This window comes from Homo sapiens, chromosome 22, assembly GCF_000001405.40.
Source record: "Homo sapiens chromosome 22, GRCh38.p14 Primary Assembly".
In the NCBI taxonomy this organism is placed as follows: domain Eukaryota; kingdom Metazoa; phylum Chordata; class Mammalia; order Primates; family Hominidae; genus Homo; species Homo sapiens.
Window position 1 is genome coordinate 19,869,649 of NC_000022.11, and position 19,857 is coordinate 19,889,505.

General features: G+C 60.6%; 1 protein-coding gene and 1 pseudogene across 5 annotated transcripts in view, besides 5 other annotated features; one reads left to right on the plus strand and one right to left on the minus strand.

The window, feature by feature from the left end:
• TXNRD2 (thioredoxin reductase 2) overlaps window positions 5,874–19,857 on the minus strand; it is a 66,297-nt gene continuing 52,313 nt past the window's right edge. For 3 of the 5 annotated variants that reach the window (NM_006440.5, NM_001352302.2, NM_001352301.2), the window contains exons 12-18: window positions 13,677–13,813; window positions 10,974–11,069; window positions 10,531–10,623; window positions 8,718–8,789; window positions 8,442–8,539; window positions 7,392–7,586; window positions 5,874–6,159 (exon numbers count right to left, since the gene is read on the minus strand). In NM_006440.5, the coding sequence (NP_006431.2) occupies window positions 7,457–7,586; window positions 8,442–8,539; window positions 8,718–8,789; window positions 10,531–10,623; window positions 10,974–11,069; window positions 13,677–13,813 (626 nt within the window). In that variant the 3' untranslated portion in view covers window positions 5,874–6,159; window positions 7,392–7,456. Of the gene's footprint in view, window positions 7,587–8,441; window positions 8,540–8,717; window positions 8,790–10,530; window positions 10,624–10,973; window positions 11,070–13,676; window positions 13,814–19,857 lie in introns of all 5 variants that reach the window. The other 2 variants (NR_147957.2, NM_001352300.2) reach the window with 2 other exon arrangements.
• Window positions 7,740–8,541: an enhancer, noted in NCBI's record as "H3K4me1 hESC enhancer chr22:19864911-19865712 (GRCh37/hg19 assembly coordinates)". NCBI's record gives its function as "activates a minimal SCP1, AML or CMV promoter by ChIP-STARR-seq in naive H9 embryonic stem cells {active_cell/tissue: H9 hESC(naive)}" and the evidence as "EXISTENCE:reporter gene assay evidence [ECO:0000049][PMID:30033119]".
• Window positions 9,344–10,145: an enhancer, noted in NCBI's record as "H3K27ac-H3K4me1 hESC enhancer chr22:19866515-19867316 (GRCh37/hg19 assembly coordinates)". NCBI's record gives its function as "activates a minimal SCP1, AML or CMV promoter by ChIP-STARR-seq in naive H9 embryonic stem cells {active_cell/tissue: H9 hESC(naive)}" and the evidence as "EXISTENCE:reporter gene assay evidence [ECO:0000049][PMID:30033119]".
• Window positions 10,146–10,947: an enhancer, noted in NCBI's record as "H3K27ac-H3K4me1 hESC enhancer chr22:19867317-19868118 (GRCh37/hg19 assembly coordinates)". NCBI's record gives its function as "activates a minimal SCP1, AML or CMV promoter by ChIP-STARR-seq in naive H9 embryonic stem cells {active_cell/tissue: H9 hESC(naive)}" and the evidence as "EXISTENCE:reporter gene assay evidence [ECO:0000049][PMID:30033119]".
• Window positions 10,948–11,749: an enhancer, noted in NCBI's record as "OCT4-NANOG-H3K27ac-H3K4me1 hESC enhancer chr22:19868119-19868920 (GRCh37/hg19 assembly coordinates)". NCBI's record gives its function as "activates a minimal SCP1, AML or CMV promoter by ChIP-STARR-seq in naive and primed H9 embryonic stem cells {active_cell/tissue: H9 hESC(naive and primed)}" and the evidence as "EXISTENCE:reporter gene assay evidence [ECO:0000049][PMID:30033119]".
• Window positions 11,750–12,551: an enhancer, noted in NCBI's record as "OCT4-NANOG-H3K27ac-H3K4me1 hESC enhancer chr22:19868921-19869722 (GRCh37/hg19 assembly coordinates)". NCBI's record gives its function as "activates a minimal SCP1, AML or CMV promoter by ChIP-STARR-seq in naive and primed H9 embryonic stem cells {active_cell/tissue: H9 hESC(naive and primed)}" and the evidence as "EXISTENCE:reporter gene assay evidence [ECO:0000049][PMID:30033119]".
• Window positions 17,641–18,322, plus strand: RPL8P5 (ribosomal protein L8 pseudogene 5; annotated as a pseudogene).

Genomic DNA, 19,857 nt, shown 5'->3' on the forward strand with positions numbered 1-19,857 from the left:
CCCGCCCCAAGCTGGGGTGCCTAGTATAGGGGTGGCCCTGGGAGTCCCAGCTGGGTCAGAGGCCAGCAGCCAGGGTAGAGGGCTGGGCACAGTTGGCTGCACCCCCAGCTGCTGAGTTACAAGGCCACACCACCTCCTGCCGGTGGCTCCACTTTATTCTCAAGCATTTGGTGTTATTTGATCACCAGTTATAAGCCAAAAAGATTCCAGTTTTAATTAGGGGGGAAAAGTTCCATTCTGTGGAACCGCAAGGCCCCATGATTGTCCCACGAAACCCTAGAGGCCAGGACCTCGCCAGGCTTGAGCCAGGTCTGCCCTGCCCTTCGGTCCTGCTTCACCGGCACCGCTGGCTTTGCATCTCCATGTCCTGAACACACTTGGGTTTGTTGGGCCTGGATTTTCACTCCTGTGGGTGCCCAGCCCTCTGCCCTGCCCCTGTGAGAGTCAGCTACCAACCAAAAGGCACAGCGGGGGAAGTTCTCTTCTGTCTCCAAAGAGTCTCTGCTTGTCCCCCTCACTGGGAAGTAAGGGAAGGCTCTGGGAACGCCAGCTTGGGTTTTGGGATTAGGGTAACCTGAGCACCGTACACCATGTCAGGGCTGGGATCAGGCAGGCTCGGGCCTAAGATGCTTTGCTGGGCCCCACAGACGGCCCCCTCGCTGTCCTCATAGGCACACAGGATTGGCTGGGGGCCAGGACAAGCAGGGCTCCAGAACCCTCTGGCGGCAGGACCAGAGGTCAGGGAGATTTGAGGGAGTTAGGCCACGCCTCGAGAGCAGGCATAGGGGAAGATGAGGGACAGAAGGGTGGTCAGGGTGCGGCAGGAGTGAGGCTCGGCTGCATCTGCAGGACAGCACCAAGGGCCCACGGGCACCAGGCCCAGGTCTGAAGCTGCAGCCCTGACGGTTCCCATGATCAAGTGTGCAGGGATTAAGGAGCAGTATCTGGAAAATGGGCCCACAGTCTTGCCTCTCTCTCCCAGGGTTGCCCAGAAGACCCATCCAGGGTGTTGACAGCAGCAATCACTGGCATTTAGTGCATGGACTTGGCCGCAGGGCGTAGGCACCGTGTGGGTTGTCGTCCTCCACTCCTGGCCAGTGCAGGCAGTCTCGGCTGCTGTCGCCTGTATTCCCTGACGACCCGTAGTGCCAGCCCGAGCTGGATGCTGTCACCGCCTGACGGAGCGCAGGGTGTCTGTGGCAAGTCCTCAACTCTTGGCCAAACTTCACCCTGCATGGTGGATTCTGGGAACAGAAATCGATGATGCCAGCCACGCCTGCCGGGCTTGGAGGTGGGCCCTGTGGCTGACGCTCAGGGGGCTGCTGCAGGTGAGGCCCAAGGAGCGCCCAGGTGTCCGGGGTCCCATCCCTCCCACACTCTGCCTCCCAGAACCCCGTCGGGGCTGCATCACATCCATTTCCTGGGTTATCAGTCTCGTGGCAGCTCTTGCCTGTTGAAGAATCTTCTGTCCAGCTATTTCCCAAGCTGAACATTCCAGGTTGTGGCTGGACAGGCCCTTGCCCGCCTGCCCCCAACCCTGAGCTCCTTCCTTCACTAGCCCACCAGCAGCTCGGCTCCCTGCAGCCGGCCCCGTGGGACCTGGTCTGGGCAGGGGCACAGCAGAGCTGGGATCTGCACAGCACTGGAGCACTGGATCCTGCCTGGAAGAGCACAGCCCAGAAGCCCCAAGCACAGGGGGGAGGCCCCTCAGCCCGGGCGCAGAGGGACATGGGAGCACACGGAGCCAGTTCCTCCCTGCCTGCCTTCTGCTCGGGGTGGCAGCCAGGACGCCAGCGTGTACCTCTTTATGCCCCTGCCTGGTCCAGGAAGAACCTCAGGCAGCTTGCAGGGCCATGCAGTGCCCAGCCAGAGAGCCCAGCTCGAAGATGGTGGTAGAGGAAGGAGACCAGGCTGGGCATAGGATGCTCCCGTGCCAGGCTCTGTTGAGCTCTGGGCTTCCGCTGGGAGGGCTGGGGAGGGGAGGGCCAGGGAGACAGAGGTGGGCTAGCCCAAGGACGCAGCCTGGGGGCCCATGGGAGGGGTCTTGTGGGCCAGTGGCCCTACCAGGACGGGCGTGGGGCTGCTGCCTAGGGCTCCATGGAAGCCCAGGGAGTGGGATCTGGAAGTCTCTCTCAGCAGCTGGCTGGCTCTCTGGCCTGGCCAAGCAGGCAAAAGTAGGGGCCAAGGTGCTGGGTGGATGGGCTGCGGGGTCCCTGGTGGCATGGGGGCCCACGTCCAGGCCCTGCTAGAGCAGTCCCAGGTGGGGGGTAGCTGGGTTGTGGAGAGGGACACCACCCCAGCACACTCCCATTCTAGTCTTCGCCCCATGTGAGTTGGGCTGAGGCCCCCACATGGGCTGGGAGGTCCACAGCCTGTGCATTTGGGGCCAGGAGAGGGCATCTTCCTCTACTGCCCAAGAGTAAGACCTGGCCCAGGCCCATCTGGATGGAGAGGCAGTTCAGAGGGAGATGCTTCCTGATGGGGCGCCCTGTGCCTGGGCCTTAATACCTGTAGGGGCTGCACCACCTGCCCTGGCCACTGATGCTGGCCCGCTGGCCTTGGGTGTAGACCCCCTGCTGCTTCCTGCTCCAGAGGGTGGGGATCCCCGTGTCTGGCAATGAATGACCCACACCAACCCTCCTGGACCCTGACTAGGCCCAAGGGTGGGAAGTGGCGATGAGTGAGGGCAGGTGGGCAGAGGCCAGCAGGTCTCATCAGGCTGGGCGGGAGGATCTCTTGCCCAGGACAGGGGCACTCAGGGACCCTGGGGAGGAGAAGTGGCTCCCAGAGGGACACGGGGTGGGGCAGCAGCCTGGGACCGAGACCAGGAGGCTCAGGTGGCTCTGAGCTCTGGGAGGCAGGAGTGGCCCCCACCCACCAGCCCAACGCAGACACCAACACGCTTCTCATGCCACCCACTGAAGCCAGGTGCCAACCTGTGCTCTCTTGGGGAGGGATGTGAGCATGGGGCGGTGACGCCACTAGGATGGAGCCTCAACCCGAGGTGGCCCAGGCACCTGGAGCCTCAATAGGGCCTGGAGGGGTTAGTGTGGCCTCATGGCCCTGCCCCGATGAGCACACTGCCCAGCCACCTCAGGGCATCCCTCATTAAAGGTCTTGGGTCACCTCCAGTTCTTGCCCAGTGTGTGAGGGGTAGGTGGGGGCCTCAGGCCTGCCTCTGGGTCCTGCTTCAACCTGGGGAGGGGACCAGGGCCCAGTGCCCAGGCACTGGCGGCACCTCCAAGCTGCTGCACTGGGGCTGGAGTGGCCGTGGGCCAGGTAAGGCAAGCAGGTGTCAGCCGAGGTGAGCTCATGTGCCAAGACCCTGTGGGAGGAGCCCAAACCCGAGGCCAGGAAACAGGTGCTCTCAACTGCAGCCCCACCAAACTGCAGCCCCACCTGACGCTGCTGCTCTCACAGGGGCAGCCCTGCCTGAGGGCCTAGCCAGCACTAAGGTCACCTCACGGCCAGGAGAGCAGGGCCGAGGTGCCCGATGGCTGCCAAGTGAGGCTAGGGCCAAGCAAGGGTGCAGCATGCTCAGGGAGGGGGCTGCAGTCTGAGCATCTCAGTTACCCCTCCCCTTGAGCTGATGACCCCTGCTGTACCCCCTGTCCACTCCTCAGAGCCCTGCCAGGCCCTGCCCTCCCCTGCTGCCCCGCTGTGGCCCTCGAAGCCCTCCATAACTGTGTGTCCCCTCCCCTGCATGTGGACCACCCAGGGGGCCTGGGGAACTGCCCAATGTCACTCAGGGGTGTTGGGGGCAGGAGAGGGTGACACTGCCCCATGCAGGGTGTGGCAGAGAGGGGCCACTCAGCCTCGCTGGGCAGCACCCCCCGCCCACTTCTCCTGCTCCCACGTCTTTGCGAGATCCGGTGCCACAGCAGAAGTGTGGAGGATGTCGCCGGGGGTAATTGCAGGTTACACAGAACAATCTGAGGAATTAAAGTCATATTTTTATTGCACCATAAAAACATGTGAAGGCGGCAGGACGGCGGCCGCGGGGCCAGGCGGAGAGCACCCGGCTCTGGCCCCACCCTGCACTCCCTGGGCCGTCTCCAGGGAGACGCAGGATCGAAACCACTGTTGGCCCAGCACACCGGTCCCACGCTGGGCAAGGGAGACCGGGAGAGCGGCCGCTTTGCCCACATTGCCCTGCTGGGCCCTGGTTCCTGCCCTGGCTGTGCAGCTGCCTGGGTGGGGGCTCTGGGCCAGTGTCCCACCAGAGTAGTGAGGTGTGGGGATGGCCTGTGCCTGCGGGGTCCCCTGGGCCTGGTCTGCAGCCAGGTGCCTGCCAGTTCAGCACCGGCCCTGAGAGGGCCTGGGGCAGCAGTGCTGGCCTCTTTGTGGCCACTCTTCACCTGCAGCACCCATTGCTTGTAAACTGGGCTGGACCCCTGCCTACCACTTACCAGGAGGGTATGAGCCCCTGTGCAGCAGGAGCCCAAGGACCCACGGCTGCCTGGGATGTGTGTGGTGGATGTTTTGGTCCCTCCTAGGGGATGTGCAGGCCGGCTGAATGGGCCACACAGCGTGGGAGAGCCGAGGTCACAGAGAGCAGGTGTGTGGTACACGGTGTGTTCTGGGAAGAAGGGGCACGCAGAGAAAACCACCTGGAGGGGCCAGTGGGGACATGGACGTGTGGGTGGCTCTCAGGCCACCAGCAACAGGTACTCCTGGTCGGCTGGGCAGACAGGGAGGCAAGAGGCCCTCCCGGCAGAATGCGGCCCAGTGTGTAGTGCGGGCTCCACACAGCTGCATCCTCTCCATCACCACAAAAGCACCAAGGCCATTTCAAGCTTTCCCCATGCTCCCTGGCAGGGGCTGATCCCAGGGCCAAGGAATCCACAGGCCCTCTGCCCCCTTCCTGGCTGCTGCCCAGAGCCACCCCCCAGAGCCCAGGCAGCAGGTGTAGGCTGACCTCCCAGCCTGGCGGTGCCTCCACGGCAAAAAAAACTTGCAGGCCTAGAGGCGAGCCCCACCCACAGGATCCGGCCCAGGCATGCCACCAGCCGTGTGTTAAATGGGACACGGCTGATCTAGAGCTGCACTTGTGGGAGGGCCTGGCCCAGCACTTGGCATCTTAAGTGGGCGTCTGAGAGCTCACGCGCACGTTTCACACAGCAAGTCGGGCTCCTGCAGGCCCATTAAGGTGCAAAGGCATTCCTCTGTGTGCTGACAAGCAGGGTCCCATCCACGGCTCCGGGCCGGCAGACTAAGTGATGTTTTCTTAAGGAAGACACGCGATTAGCCACAGCTAAAGCCCCAGCACAATGCAGGGCCCGGCCATGGCTGTCAGCGCTGTCTCTCGGCAGTGACTGACAGGCACTCCCCAGCCCATCAAGCCTCAATGCACAGGATTAGCCTGACGCAGCCGACAAGCTGACTTGGAGGGCCACGGTGGAAAACCGGCAAAGTGACTGACATCCGGGGACAGAGAGCCTCACACAGCCCTGCTACCTCCTGTCATGGGCCTGCCTGCTGGCGGGCTGTTCCAGAACAAAGCCGGTGTTGCCGCCCCTCCCAAGAGCCTCCCTGGCACTGGGCTGCCCTTCTTGCTTCAAGGTGCAGAGACCTAGGCAGAGGGTCCCAGGAAAAACCCTCAGTGGGCGTCTTCAGGCCAGAGGCCAGGCAGCTGTGGGGCAGGTGGGGCGGCTCCGCCTCCTGCCTAAGTGGGGTCCCTAGCACTGCAAGTCTGCTCCCCTCTGCCCAGGGCTGCTTGGAATTGTGCTCGGGGGTTCAAGGGGCCCCAGCGGACTCTGGGCTGCCCTGGATGGAAGCTACTCACGATTGAAGAGGGGCCTGGTGGCCTGGCCAGACCCCACCCACCTGGGCGATCCTGGGGGACCATCAGGGACACCGCAGGCAGAGCACACTTCAGAAAAAGTACCCTCTTTATTTGCATTGCAGAAATGCCAGGGGGCTCGGACATGGGTGCCCACAGGGTAGGTTTCCACCCAGGTCGTCATCATCTGGCACCAGGAGCCTGGGGGGGGGTGCCCGGCGGCAGAGGCTGAGAGGTGCAGGGGTGAGGTGGACAGTCCCCTGAGCCATCCCTGTGGGGCACACGGGCCACCTGTCCAGCACTTGCGCTCCACGCTGACCATCTCACAGGCGCTCCAGGAGAGGGTTGAGGCCCCCCAAACCTGGCCTGCAGCCATCCTGCCAACAACAGGAAGGTCAGCACAGGTCAGCCACCCACCCCTCACATCAGCCTAGCTATGTCTCCCACTGCCACACCCAGGGACCCCCAAGGGAGATGGGTGAGAAATAAACCCAGCAGAGAATGGCCCCACCCCAGGGCGATGCGTCACAGGGAGCGACGCGGTGCTACAAAAATATTTTGAAATGATAAAAATTTATAGCAGGCTCCTAACAAAACAGCTCTGGGAGGTGTAATGTTCTGATAAGAGTTTCCTCAGGATGCCCTTTGTTTATCCCTATCGAGCGCGGCCCCGCCGGGGGGAGGCGGCCACGGTGAAGCAGGGGGCCCTGAGTACCCCCAGAGAGGCCTCCCCAGAGCCCCTCGGCGCCATGCAGACCCTAGAGCCTGTCCACAGGCATCTTGGGGGGAGCCCACTGCTCTGCCTGGTCTCCACCTCAGCCCCGGGGGAGAGATGGAGCCCAAACACCCCAACCCTGGGAGGGGCTGACAGCCATGGGGGTGCCCCAGGTGGGCTGGATGGCACGGGCTGAGGGCCCACCCTGCCCCGGCCCCTGCCCTGCAGCCCAGGCCGGAGGATGCACTATTAGACCACGAGGCGAGGGGGCTCTGGCACAGGCATCCCTGGGGCAGAGGCCAGGAGCCCTTGCCAGTTTCTTCCTCCCCAGAAGAGGTCACGATGAACAACATGCCCCCCGGTCAGCCTGGCTCTGCAGAGCTGGAACAGAACCAGATGTGCAGGGCAGGCTGGGCAGGGCCGGCCATCACAGGGCAGCGTCTCCACCTTCTGGGAGATAGGGAAATGAGCGGGCGCTGAACTCTGCAGGAGCCAGGCCTTGGTGGGAGGCCTCGGTGGGAGGCCAGCTTCCCGACTGCAGCCCCCTGTGGGGCAGCAACTTGAGATGCCCGACTTTAGCCCACCCGGGACACCTTCCACGCCAACATCCACCTGGGATAGGCTGCTAAGGATGAGCCCCGTTTCTTGATACCTCCTGTGTGTGGGGAGCAGCTGTGGCCAGGCCGGGGTCTGGGGTCCCCCGGGGAGGTTTGGGCCCCTGGGAACTTCCCCTTCTGCCTGTCACCGCTGTGGCCTGGTTACAGGATGGAGCACCCATTCTGGGTGGCGTGGCAGGTGTAGCCTTGCTGTACACCTGGAGGGAGCCCATGGCCAGGGCTCCTGCACCCCTGCCACATGCCCTGTCCTCAAACAGAGCCAGCCCCACCTGCATACCTGGGTCTGGCCTCCGAGGAGCTGGCGGCGGGCGCACCGTGTGCCCTGGCCTGCAGGGATGGCGCTTACCCTCAGCAGCCTGTCACCGTGGGGTCCAGGCCTGAGCGCTTGGAGATGCGCAGCTTGACTACCTCCTCAGAGCATGTGGGATGGATACCCACGGTCCGCATCACCTGCGCATAGGAAGCCCCACACCTGCACATGGGGGATGGGGGAGGCAGGCGGGGTCAGCACAGGGAGGGGGGTCCACAGCATCCCACCCCCGGGAAGAGGAGGGCCTCAGAGGCTGCTGGTCTCCTCACTGTCCCCTGACCCCCAGCCAGCAGCCAGGACCCCTGCCCACACCCGTGGGTGCCATCCACCTCCCTCCCAGCAGATGCCTAGTGCTCGTCCAGCCCACCTCCCACCCAGCCACGCCCTGGCTTGCCCTGGCCTGGCTTCCTGCTGTTCCATCCTCCCCTGCTAGGCACAGTCCTGCCTTAGGCCTCTGCTCTCTGCTTTACCCACAGACAGCGCATCCTGGCCTCACCACACCACCACCTCCCAGGCCCCACATCCAGCCAGCCACCTCTCTCAGGCCATGCACAATGTCCCAACCTCCAACTACCCCTGTCAACCCACCCAGAGCCTTTGCCATGGCTTCCTTTGACCCCGGGACCCCGAAAACACACAGCCTGAGCCCAAGACCCAGGCAATGGCCCCAGCTCCAGAAGACACACAGCAGCCCTGGGGTGGCTCTCCAGGTACTGGCACTCTGCTCATGGTGGCGTGGTGCTTGGCCAGGTGGGCAAGGGCCCTAGCAGCGACCCGGGGCCACAGGGGACACCTCACCTGGCTCTGGCTGGCTCAACAGCGTCTGGCTGGGGCAGAACCGCCTCTTGTCCCCCTAAAACCCGCCCTGTCTGAGGGGCCTGAGGAATCTCTGCTGCAAACCCACGAAGGCCACATAAATGCCGCAAGAGTGGCAGCAGCTCTCCACTGTAGGACTGCCGGCACTCGAGGGATACCCAGCTGCACATCGCATCGCAGCCTGCATTCCTCGGGACTTACTTGATCCCCAGAGCAAATCCTTGAGTAACTTCGCCTGCGTTGGGGCCAAGGAAATGCAGGCCCAGCACCAGCTGTGGGGGCTCCCTCAGGCACACCATCTGAAAGCCGCACATCTCAGCCACCAGCCCAGGAGGGGGCTGGGTTGCGTCCACCCTGCATCCACCCTGCACCCTGCCTGGGAGGCATGGGTGGGGCCAGTCCTCGGGTGTTCACCCTGCCAGGCTCTTTGCCACCCTCCCTCTCATCCTCAGCACCCTGGGCCACAGGGATGCTCACCTTTACATAACACTGGGATGCATCTCGTCCAGCCACCGTGAACTCCAGTGGTTTATAATGGGCGTGATAGACCTGAGGACAGGATACCAACCCTGGATCAGTGCTGCGACAAACAAACCTCGTGGCACCTGCAGCTCCCACAGGCTGCATGGGCAAGGCAGGGTCATGGCGGGCAGGAACCATCCATCTGGCCTGAAGGTCTGGTCTGGGATGGGGATGAGGGCTTGGCTGGCCACGGGGTGTGTGCAGGCCCTCTCACGTGCAGGCAGCCAGTGGCTGGAGCCATGCTCTGCAGGACAGACCCTGTCCCACCCAGGCCTGGGACCCCCGTAAACCACAGCAGCAGAGCAGGCATCAGGCAATCCAAGCAGCCAGGCCAGGCACAGCAAACCTGGGTGGACGTAGCTCACCCACAACAAATGGTGGAGGCAAGAATGGGTGAGCAGGAGGCCACCTGGGCTCCCTCAGGCACCCTGGTGTTTGCTTGGCCCTCACTGGAGCAAGGCCGCTGTGGCCACACCGGAGCCGGAGCTGTTGGACAAAGGCTTTCAGCACCCCTGAAGGGCTCGACAGCGTGTCCGGGGCTGCGGCCAAGTAAAAAATGAGTGGGGCCCTCACATGTGCTGTACAGCCATTATTAATTAATGGAACTTCAGAGAATATTGTTCTAACTAAGACAGAATTGAAAAGAAAACAAACAGAGTATTTGGCCATTCAACATTGTGAAACATAAAACAACATTATAAAATGCCAGGAACATATGTCCCAGCACACTTGTGATGAATCAAACAAAAATAGCAAATAAAGTGCCTCGGGGAAGGCTGGCCTGTCAGGCCCGTCCTGTTGATGGAGAGTTCTGGGGTGCAGGGGGAAGGGGCCAGCCCTGGAGCCCAGTGTCTCATCCCCAAAGGCCGCAGGCCCCACCGCCCAGGCTGCAGGCTCCGGTTTCTCTGGGTGCCTGCAAGCTGCAGCGGCAGCAAGATGAAACCGCACCGAAGGCTTCCAGCTACCACGGCCCGGCAGGCTTCAGAGCCCCCGCATCCCTCCAGGCCACCCCGGAGCCACAGCCACCTGCCAGAGCAGACCCCCAAAGCAGGCTTGCTCGATGAAAACCCCTTTCCTCAAGGGTGAGTGCCTGAGCCTGGAAGAAGCTGGAAGAGGATGGGTATCAGGATGTGGTGGGGGGCGGGGGGCGGGGGGCTCTCGCCTGGGAGAAACCCTGGGCAGTCCAGGAAGACGAGGTGCAGGGTGGTGGGGGGGGTGGGGGTGGAAGCAGAGGTCGGAGGCCCCTGGGAGAAACTTTTCTGGGTAGAGTGAGATTCATGGCCCTGCAAGGTGGGGACAGCACAGAGGCATCTTCGGGGCCCTGGTGCTTTCAGGGACAAGCTGCTGTGTGCTGGAGTGGGGCCAGTGCTCAGCTGACCTCAGCAGGGGAGCGGGTGGCACCGTGGTGGTGACCCTGCTGGTGCTGGGCACCCCTGCAGCATGGCTGGGGTGGGGCTGGGGGCTTCTGGGCCACAGGGCTTCTCCTTGCCCTCAGAACAAGGCAGCCAAGGGCCTTCCCCTCACTGCTGTGACACATGGTGGCAGAGACCAGAGGCACCTAAGCCCAGTCACCCCAAGGCTGCCAAAGCCCAGGCACCCCCACTTCTGAGGCTGCCCCCAACGTGTCCCTTCCCGCTACACACAGCCACTGCTCAGGGCCCCTGGAAAGGAGAGACCTTGGCACCCTGCTCACAAGGCCTCCGCCCAGAGCATGGGGTGAGGTCGTGGAGTCGCCACTGTCCTCAGCTGTGCTGCTCCCAGGCCTCACCTCAACATGCTCCTGCCCGTGGCGAGCCACTGCCTCCTCCTCGGACAGCCCCACACAGCCATACTCCAGCGGGGTGAAGACGGTCGTGGGAACCTGAAAGCAGGTCTGGAGTCAGGGAGGGCCCTTGGGCCCCGAAAACCGAAGTTCCCCACTGCATGTGACACAAAGAGCAGCGATCACAGACCAGGACCAGATGCGCCCAGAGCAGGCTGCAAGCACAGTAGGCGACCCACCTGCCCACGCCTGCGCCACACTCTCAGAACTGAGCCACACACCCATGCATGCACACACACGTGTGTACAACACACCCACATAAGCGCACACACACGCATGCCCACATCTACATGCAGACACACAGCGCACAAAGGCCCCTCACCCCAGAAGAGCTAGCCTCGAACTCAGCCTGTCCTAGGCTGCACGTGGCGTCCTGCTAGAGAACTCACATTGTCGTAGTCCATCAGATCTGAGGACCCGCCGAAGAGCCGCTGCACCAGGAGCCTCCCGGCCATGATCGCTATGGGTGTCAGCTCAGGCCGCCCCTTGGGGAAGGCACAGGGGGGCCACGTCAGCACCATGTCCGGGGTTATATGCAGCCCCTATGCCATCACCCTTTGCCCTCCGAGTGGGCATCTCCCTTTAGAAAATCCCCAACACTGGCACCGAGCATGGTGACGTACAGCATTCCCCCTAGAGCTCGTCCTCCTGAGGGGCATCCCAAGGACCTAGGTAGGTTGCTCATTCTCCTGTTTGCTGCCCTCCACTCTGCCCTGGGAAAGGAGTCCGCTGCTGATGAGGCTGGCCGTGCCACCCTCACATGCTCAAGCCTTCTCTCCAAACCCCTTCTGCACATTGCTGACCTCGGAGGGCTGCCCCATGACCAAGCTCAAAAGAGCCCCTGCTACCGTTTTCATTCACTGGAATCCCCGGCTAAAAAGGGACCCCAAAGCGTTCCATGTGCTCCTGACGTGCAGCTTGATCTGCACGTCACAGTCCATAACAAATTCCAAATCAGAATGTCGCTGTGCTGGAGATCCCTCCGTCCCAGGGTGTGCCCAGCCTTGGGGGTTCCAGCACCGTCCTCTGGGATGGGCTGCCAATCACCATGGCAGCAGGAAATGCAGATGTTGTTTGGCATTCCAGAAATGCATAGAGATCCGTGGAGATAAACTCAGAGCGCAGCCTGCGCATTCCAGCAGGCCTGACTAACTACGGAAACATCCCGGCGGGCGGCGCACAGCACACAACATCTCATTAAACAATAGCCCCCGCCCCGCCCACAGGCTCTTCCCAGCCGCTCAAGGGACCACTGGTTGGGTGTTAACTCTTTGGACTATTCAGAACGACCTTTCTGACAGAGTGGATTTAATGTTTAAATAAAGAATGCCTTTGTGTGCGCCATGCATTTCTGGCAAAACGGTTTGAAATGTTCCAGTTTCCAACACAGGAGCCTGGGAGCTACACACTTGCAGAGGGAAAACTCAGATTCCCAGACAGAAGGGAGGCTTCCCGCTGTGCACAGAGATGCACATGGCACTGTCTCAGGGTGCAGCGCCCACAGGATTCAACAGACCCTGCAACCAGAGACCACTGCACCTACATGGTCCACAGGCAGAGGCTGCGCTTGCAGAAATCACTGAGCAGCTGAACCATCCAGCTAAGCAAGCTGGGGCTGCAGGGTGGCTGAGGCACATGGAGCCACATGCTCTGTCCACACAATCGGGTCGGCTAGATGGGCCCTACAGGACCCTGCAGGGTCTGCCTGGAGCCTCAGAGTGTGACCTTATTTGGAAATAAGATCTTTGCAGATACAATTAAGGTAAGGATGGAAATGAAGTCATCCTGGATTAGGGTGGACCCTAAGTCCAATTGCAGAGAAACTGTAAGAGGCAAATCAGGGCCCAGAGACACACCCAGGAGACTGTCACATGACGATGAGGCAGAGAGAGGAGTGATATAGCCACAACCCGAGGGACGCCTGGGGCATCCTACCCCAGAGGCTTCCGAGGGAGCCTGGCCCAGCTGACACTTTCTGACATGGAGTCTCGCTCTGTCACCCAGGCTGGAGTGCAGTGGCACAATCTTGGCTCACGGTAACCTCCGCCTTCCTCCTCCCGAGTTCAAATGATTCTCCTGCCTCAGCCTCCCGGGTAGCTGGGATTACAGATACGTGCCACCACGCCTGGCTAATTTTTGTATTTTTTTAGTAGAGACGGTTTCACCATGTTGGCTAGGCTGGTCTTGAACTCCTGACCTCAAGTAATCTGCCTGCCTCGGAGTCCCAAAGTGCTGGGATTACAAGCATGAGACACTGCACCCAGCCCCAGCTGACACTTTCATTTCAGACTACTGCCCCCCAAACGTGAGATAATCCATGTCTGTTGTTCTGGGCCACCCGTGTGTGGTGATTTGGTACCACAGCCCCAGGACGCAGACACTGACAGGTCTCGCTACAAAGAAGCTCTCAGCGACCCTCCAGAGCCACTTTCAGCAGCAGGTGCTGGACACATGCAGGACAGGCCGAGCACTCCTGAGGCTGCCAGGGTGCAGTATCCCAAGACTGACCACCACAGTCCCTTACTGGGGCCATGTGTAAGGAGGGCTCCAGAGCCCCCACCCAGGAAAGACTGGCACCGGTCTCCACTTCACAGCAGCAGCAGCAGCTGAGAGCAAAGGACCTGCCCCGGTGTGATGCCCAGAGAGGCAAGCCAGAGGATACTGAGGCGGGGAGGGCGGGGCCAGGTGGGCCCGAACTAGACCTGCCTCTCAACCCTGTGGGGACAGGACGGCCCCAAGGCCATGGTGGCATTTCTAAGCCTATGCCTCTAGCCTACCTGCCAGGGGTTGAGGCCTGCGTGCAGAGCTGACCCATGCCCCATTCCCAGCAGGCGTCTGCTGCTGGTGCTTGCAGCTGTCTTTAGACCATCCACACTCCCACCACAGAAAGGAAAGGAAAGGCAGAGAGCCGAGGCCCATGTCCAGGTTGCCCCAGAACTCCAGACAGGCTGGCCCTGGGGTTTGGCCCAGAGCCTCTGTCATCAGAGAAAGTGTCGTTTCTCTCCTACAGGACGGCAGCAGCCGGAGCCCAGCGAGCAGGGGTGGTGGAGCAGGCAGGGGCAGGGGCCCTGGTCCCGGGACGCATGCCGTACCTCCACCACGTCACCAATGGCGTAGATGTGGGGCACAGAGGTGGCTTCCCGGGAGTCCACCAGGATCTTCTGAGTGTCGGGGCTAGTATCTACCCCAGCCTTCTCCAAATTCAGACTTCTGGTGTCTGGGACTCGACCTGAAGGAAACAGAGAGGGGGCTGAAAGGTTATCTTCAGTGGCTTTGACCTAGAGCGGTTGTGTTTAAACTGTTTCTCAGAATGTCCACTTAGAGACCGGGTGCAGTGGCTCCTGCCTGTAATCCCAGCACTGTAGGAGGACGAGGTGGGCAAATCACCTGAGGTCATGAGTTCGAGACCAGGCTGGCCAACATGATGAAACCCTGTCTCAGCCAGGCGTGATGGCTCATGCCTATAATCCCAACACTTTGGGAGGCCGAGGCAAGTGGATCACCTGAGGTCTGGAGTTCAAAACCAGCCTGGCCAACATGGTGAAACCCCATCTCTACTAAAAATACAAAATTACCTAGGCGTAGTGGTGCACACCTATAGTCCCAGCTACTCGGGAGGTTGAATCGCTTGAACCCAGGAGGTGGAGGCTGCAGTGAGCTAAGATTGCACCATTGCGCTCCAGCCTGCGCAACAAGAGCAAAACTCTGTCTCAAAAAAAAAAAAAGAAAGAAAAGAAAAGAAAGAAACCCTGTCTCTATTAAAAATACAAAAATAGCTGGGTGTGGTGGCATGCACCCGTAATCCCAGCTACTTGGGAGGGTGAGGCATGAGAATTGCTTGAACCCGGGAGGTGTCGGTTGCAGTGAGCCAAGATCACACCACTGCACTTCAGCCTGGGCGACAGAGTGAGACTGTCTCAAGAAAAAAGAATGTCCACTTAGAACTGGCCAAATGTGAAGCACCAGCAGCGTAGAGGGGCTCCTGGCCTCTGCAGGAGGTGGCAGGCAGGTCTGAAACGGACACTGGTCAGATGACAGCCGGCACAGGAGACAAGGCAGGGGTGCCACCGGTGGAAACTGGAGTCGGCCTTAGACTGGTTCCTGGCACGCGGGAAAGGAAGAGGCACTTGCCAATGCTGGGGCTCCCTGACATCAAAGAGTGCTAAGCGCGGGACTCCAGAATCTTCCGCATGCCCAGGCCTCAGGCCCTGCTGCAGGGCCACCAGCACAGTGCCAGTGGCTCTGGTACTGACTTCATCCGGAGAAACCAGCCCTTCATGGGGAGCTGTTGGCACCTGGCCTGCCTGGCCTCCCTGCATCTGTCTGCAGCACCACAGCCTGATACCATTAGGCAGTGAGATCCATCAGCTCCCAGGCCTCAAGAGTCCAGAGGGGCCTCCTTCAAGGGACACCTGCTGGCTCCCAATGGCCTCCTCCCTATCTGGACAAGCTGAAGAGGAGCCAGCCACACCCTGGACTGTACCCCAACAATGCTCAAGTCCTGGGATCTGGCCCTCTGCCCAGGTAGGGCTTGAAGGTCTCTCCCCATTAGGAGAAAGCAAGCCCCCGTAACCCGCTAGTAGAGGGCCAGGTGAGCAGAGCTAGCAGCCGGGTCTCCCACCTGCTCTGTGCTGCAGCCCCTCGTGGCTGCCTGGCACACAGTCCCAGCCTAGAGACCTCAGGGCCAAGGGGAGCTGAGCTAAGGGGCAGTGTCCAAACTACACCGTGCCCATTCTAGGGGGCAGCTGGCTCAGCTGATCCTGCTCTTGGGTGCAAAGGCCAAGAGGGGCAGGGGATGGCCAGTCCAGGGGGTCAGCACAGCTGCCCCCTGCCAGTCTCCACACAGCCTGGGGCCCGGAGAGAGGGCACCGCATGGGCCTCTTCATAGCCGAACAGCCAGCAGAGGTCCCTTTCTCCCCTAACTCAGATGGGTGTGATTTTGCCAGGCCAGCGGATGGCCACAGCAGCTTTTCCCTCCCAACCCCAGGTGCTCTCGGCTCCCAGGGGCTCAGGATGATCCACCAATGGCGAAGGCAATTTTGCCTCAAAAGCATAGCTCCCCTGCTCATCGTGGCTGGGACAAACCAGCTGCTGGCCGGTATGCGGGTGGCGCCCACCTAAGCATCTGGAAGCTGAAGCTCCCGTGAGAGGGAACCCTTAAGTCTCCAGCTGCTGTCCCGGGGCAGGAGTCAAAACATACCAACTTGGCTAAGCCAGCTTGCGGGAGGCCGGCTCCAGCCTCTGTGCTCTGCTCAGCCGCAGGAATTGGGTGCCGGGAGGGCTGGCACCGGTCGGGGATCAGCCCAGACACAGGGGATGCCAGCCCACATCAGAGGAAGGAGCTGGGCCCCATGGGCAGGGCTGGGGCACGAAGGAGGGGCTGTGGTCCCTGCAGGCCGGGGGCTCACGCTCAGCCGTCTGGTCCCTCTCCAACCTGGTGTCCAGCCCACCAGGCCCAGCACTTCCTGGTGCCTGCTCCGTGCCGGAACAGAACATCTGACGCTGCACCCACACTCTCCTCTGCACGCTTGCCTGGCTGGTCCTGGGAAGCCAAGAGCACTCATCATGTTCCTCATGGTAACTATGGCACTATGGCAACTACAGACCTTGCAGGTGCTGACCAAACCCTGTCCCCAGGTCCCGAAGGAAATAAAGATAAATTTAAAAGTAGTCACAAGAGATAAAAGAGGCATGGAAATAGGTGGCCCATCCAAAGCCAGGACTCTTCCGCACATGCTCTGTGGATCACTCTGGGAAGTCGGTGGGAATGTAATGGAGCCACTAATGTGAAAGGCATGACAGCTGGACAGGCTGGATGGCCAGGGGAGAGTGGGCTGCGCGGCACAGACACGCCTGGCCCTGCAGGGACTCCACAGCCCTTCGGGAATGAACAGCAAAAGAAGAGTGAGTGGCCTGTGGCAGGCAGCAGGCTCAGCCCTGAGGAGGGCAGCCGAGGGCACAGTGGGGTTAGAAGCTGGGCTGGTGGGACGTGGCTGGGAGTGGGTGCAGGGAAGAGGCCAGCTCCACTTGGGTGGGGCCACGTCCCTAGCCGTGGCCAGCCCTGATGGCAGGACACCAGGCCCTGAGCCCCACTATGGGTCTTGCTGAGCAAAGGACTGGGCAGTGGCCAGAGAAGGGCCAGATCTCCCTGCTGGTGCTGGACAGCCAATCAGGCGTCCTAGGCCCTACTGGCTCAGGCCTGGAGCCCTGCAGGAGGTTGGACGACTTGTGCCAAGGTGGGGACCCACTGGGGCCCGAATGCTGTGAGCAGCAGGATGCAGGTGGCTGTGCCCAGTCAGCTCCCCACCATTTCCCTCCTATGCCAGGATAAAGCAGTTGTGCCTGGTCAGCTCCCGACCATTTCCCTCCTATGCCAGGATAAATGTGCACTATTCAGGCCATTTAGGGAAAGAAGGGTGCCTGCACCGGTGTCTTTCGCCCTGCATGTTGTGCTCAGAGCTTTCCCAGCTGTGCCTGTGGCCCACTGCAGGCCTCCCCATGGGGCGGCTCTGTGCTCCCTGCAGCTCCGTCCTCGAAGCCTTGGCTCTGGAGTGCCCAGTGCAGCATTTGCCAAGTGCTGCTGAATGGCCCCTCCTGGGGTAGGACAGGCACTCTCAAGGCTCTGCTTCCTAGACACCACCAGGATGGAGACCTGGGGCACCAGCTTGCCATGTGTCAGTTGAGTTCCTGGGGCAGACCCTCAAAGGAAGGGCGGCCAGCTGAGTGGGGGCTTCTGGGCGCAGGGCAGTCCTTAGACTCTGTTCCTTCCTGGGGCAGGCGGCGCACAGCACTCTCTGTCATGCTGCTTTAATTTGCACTTCTTTGATGACTAGTAAGATGAAGTAATTTTTGGCCACGTGTTTATGAACTGTATTTCCTCTTTTGTAAATTACCAGTTCCTGCCTTTTCTCATCCATTTATAGGCATCTTCACCATGTTCCTTCTTTGTAAGAGCTTATTACGTAATGGATACATGACACTCTGGCATATTTTCTGCAAACGACAAGGGCATTAAAATTCCAGGTACAGCTCTTCAGGCTGTATTCATGAGCAGTCGTGGGCCACGGGATTCGTGGGCAGAGGAAGGGCACCAGCTCTGTGTTCCTTGTGCACATGAAGCAGGAGGGCTCATAGGCCTGCATGCTGTGGACTTAGCTGAGCGGCACAGCTACATCAAGGGCACCTTGAAGGACATGCCCCTGCTGAGATGGTCTCCAGGATCCACACCAGTTTAAGCAGCAGACAGAGCTGTCCATCACCACCAAGGGCCTCCACACGGGCCAATTTCTGTTTGTGTACTGTAGCAAGAGGGCCCAGCTGGACGTCGGCAGCGTCCTCCCTGCAGGCACCACACCTGTACCATCAAGCGCTGCCTGGAGGAGAGGCTGAGACTGGAACTTGTTAGCCTGGGCCTTTGAGAACTACACCGCAGTCACCTCCCCTAGCCCGGAAACCAGGAAGACTTACATGAAGCTGCCCTCCAAGAGGATCATCTCAGCCAACAGAGCTGTGGTCAATGTGGGAGCCAGAGGTGGCCGAACTGACCAGCCATCCTGAAGGCAGGCCATGCCCACTACATATAAGGCAAAGAAGAGCTGCTGACCATGGTGCAGAGTATGGCCGCAAGCCCCAAGGAACGTCCCTTCAGAGATGGCAACCACTGGCACGTTGGCGAACCTGCCACTGCAGAGATGTCTCTGCTGGTAGCAAAGTGGGTCTCATTGCTGCCCACTGGACTTGGTTCAGAATTGGGGCTGATGGGCCCAACAAAGTTTGTCCTTCTGCCAAAAAAATAGTAATTCCAGGTACAAATGGACGTGCTCACTTCCTATGTATATGTGTGGCTGGCCCACAACACTGACACTCAGGAAGCACTGGGCTGAGCATCTCTGCAGCCCGGAGCTGCCTCCAGCCCCAGGCCCAGCAGTGCAGCACCCCTGACGCAGGACAGCCCATCTCCATGTGTGGCCAGTGCTAGGAACAGCCGTGCAGGGCAGCCCTCCTCTGATCACAATGAGAGCCCCACCAGCTGCTGTCAATGGCCCAGGAGATGGAGGGCAGCCACCATGCTTGTCCAGCCAGCCTGGCCCCAAGGAGGGACCAGAGAAGGCTGAAGCCCAAAAACCACCCACACAGTCACCATGGGTCACTCCCATCTATTCTGATGGACACAGGGACACGGGGACGGCCAGCCGCATGCAGTATCATGCGCCTCTCTCATCCATGATGGGAAGAACAGGCATGCCCTCTGATTTCACGCCCGCCTGGGACACATTTTCCCAAGAGAAGAGCAAGGAGGCAGCGCCCCAGGTGAGAGGTAAGTGCCAGCAGGAGTACAGCAGGGTGAGCCAGTGGCTGTGATCCAGACAGAGGCAGCCAGGGCCAAGCACTGCGCCTGAGGACGAGGGTGTGGGAGTGGGAGGCTCCAGGGCCGGTGGGCGATGCGAGGCGGGCACGGCTTCACACACAGGCCCTGTGGGCCACCTGGCGACTGTCTCATGAGGCATGTGGCCCCCAGAGCCAGCCACCCTCACGGGGCCTGGCCTGCCACTTGCCCCAGTGAGGCACCTTGGACCAGGCACAGAGGAGCGTATGCCTTTGGAACTGGACTTAGATTCTTGAAGCTTATTATTTTAAAATATTTATCTTCTTTTTTTTTTTTTTTCTGGAATCGCACCTTCTCAATGAGCCCCGGGCCCCTACCCGCAGCTATGAGCCCACCAGGGGGAAGGGGACGCACCTGCCCTGCTGGCCTCAGGTCCCATCGAGACGCCATGTTAGTTGAATAAATGAGTGAGCCCCTGGGCCTCAATGGGACCTGATTGGCCACTTGCTGTGACTGCCAGCAGCCACCAGGGACCCCTAGGCCGTTCCAGGGATGTCTCATACCCAGGGCGGCTCCTTGGGGGGTGGGGGTGAGCTTCCCCTCAGGCAGCATAAGGGCCTTTCCTACTCAAGCTGCCTATGTGCATTATGATGTGTAAGACCCCACAGTCAGCCTTGGAGTACGGCGCAGCCCCCAGCTCAGGCCCAGAGGACCCCCAGGAAGGAGCGTGCTCTGTGGCGAGTGGTCATTATTGCTTTAACAGTTATTATTAGACCGGGTGCAGTGGCTCACGCCTGTAATCCCAACACTTTGGGAGGCTGAGGCGGGCGGATCATGACGTCAGGAGTTCGAGACCAGCCTGGCTAACACAGTGAAACCCTGTCTCTACTAAAAATACAAAAATTAGCTGGGCGCGGTGGCGGGTGCCTGTAATCCCAGCTACTTGG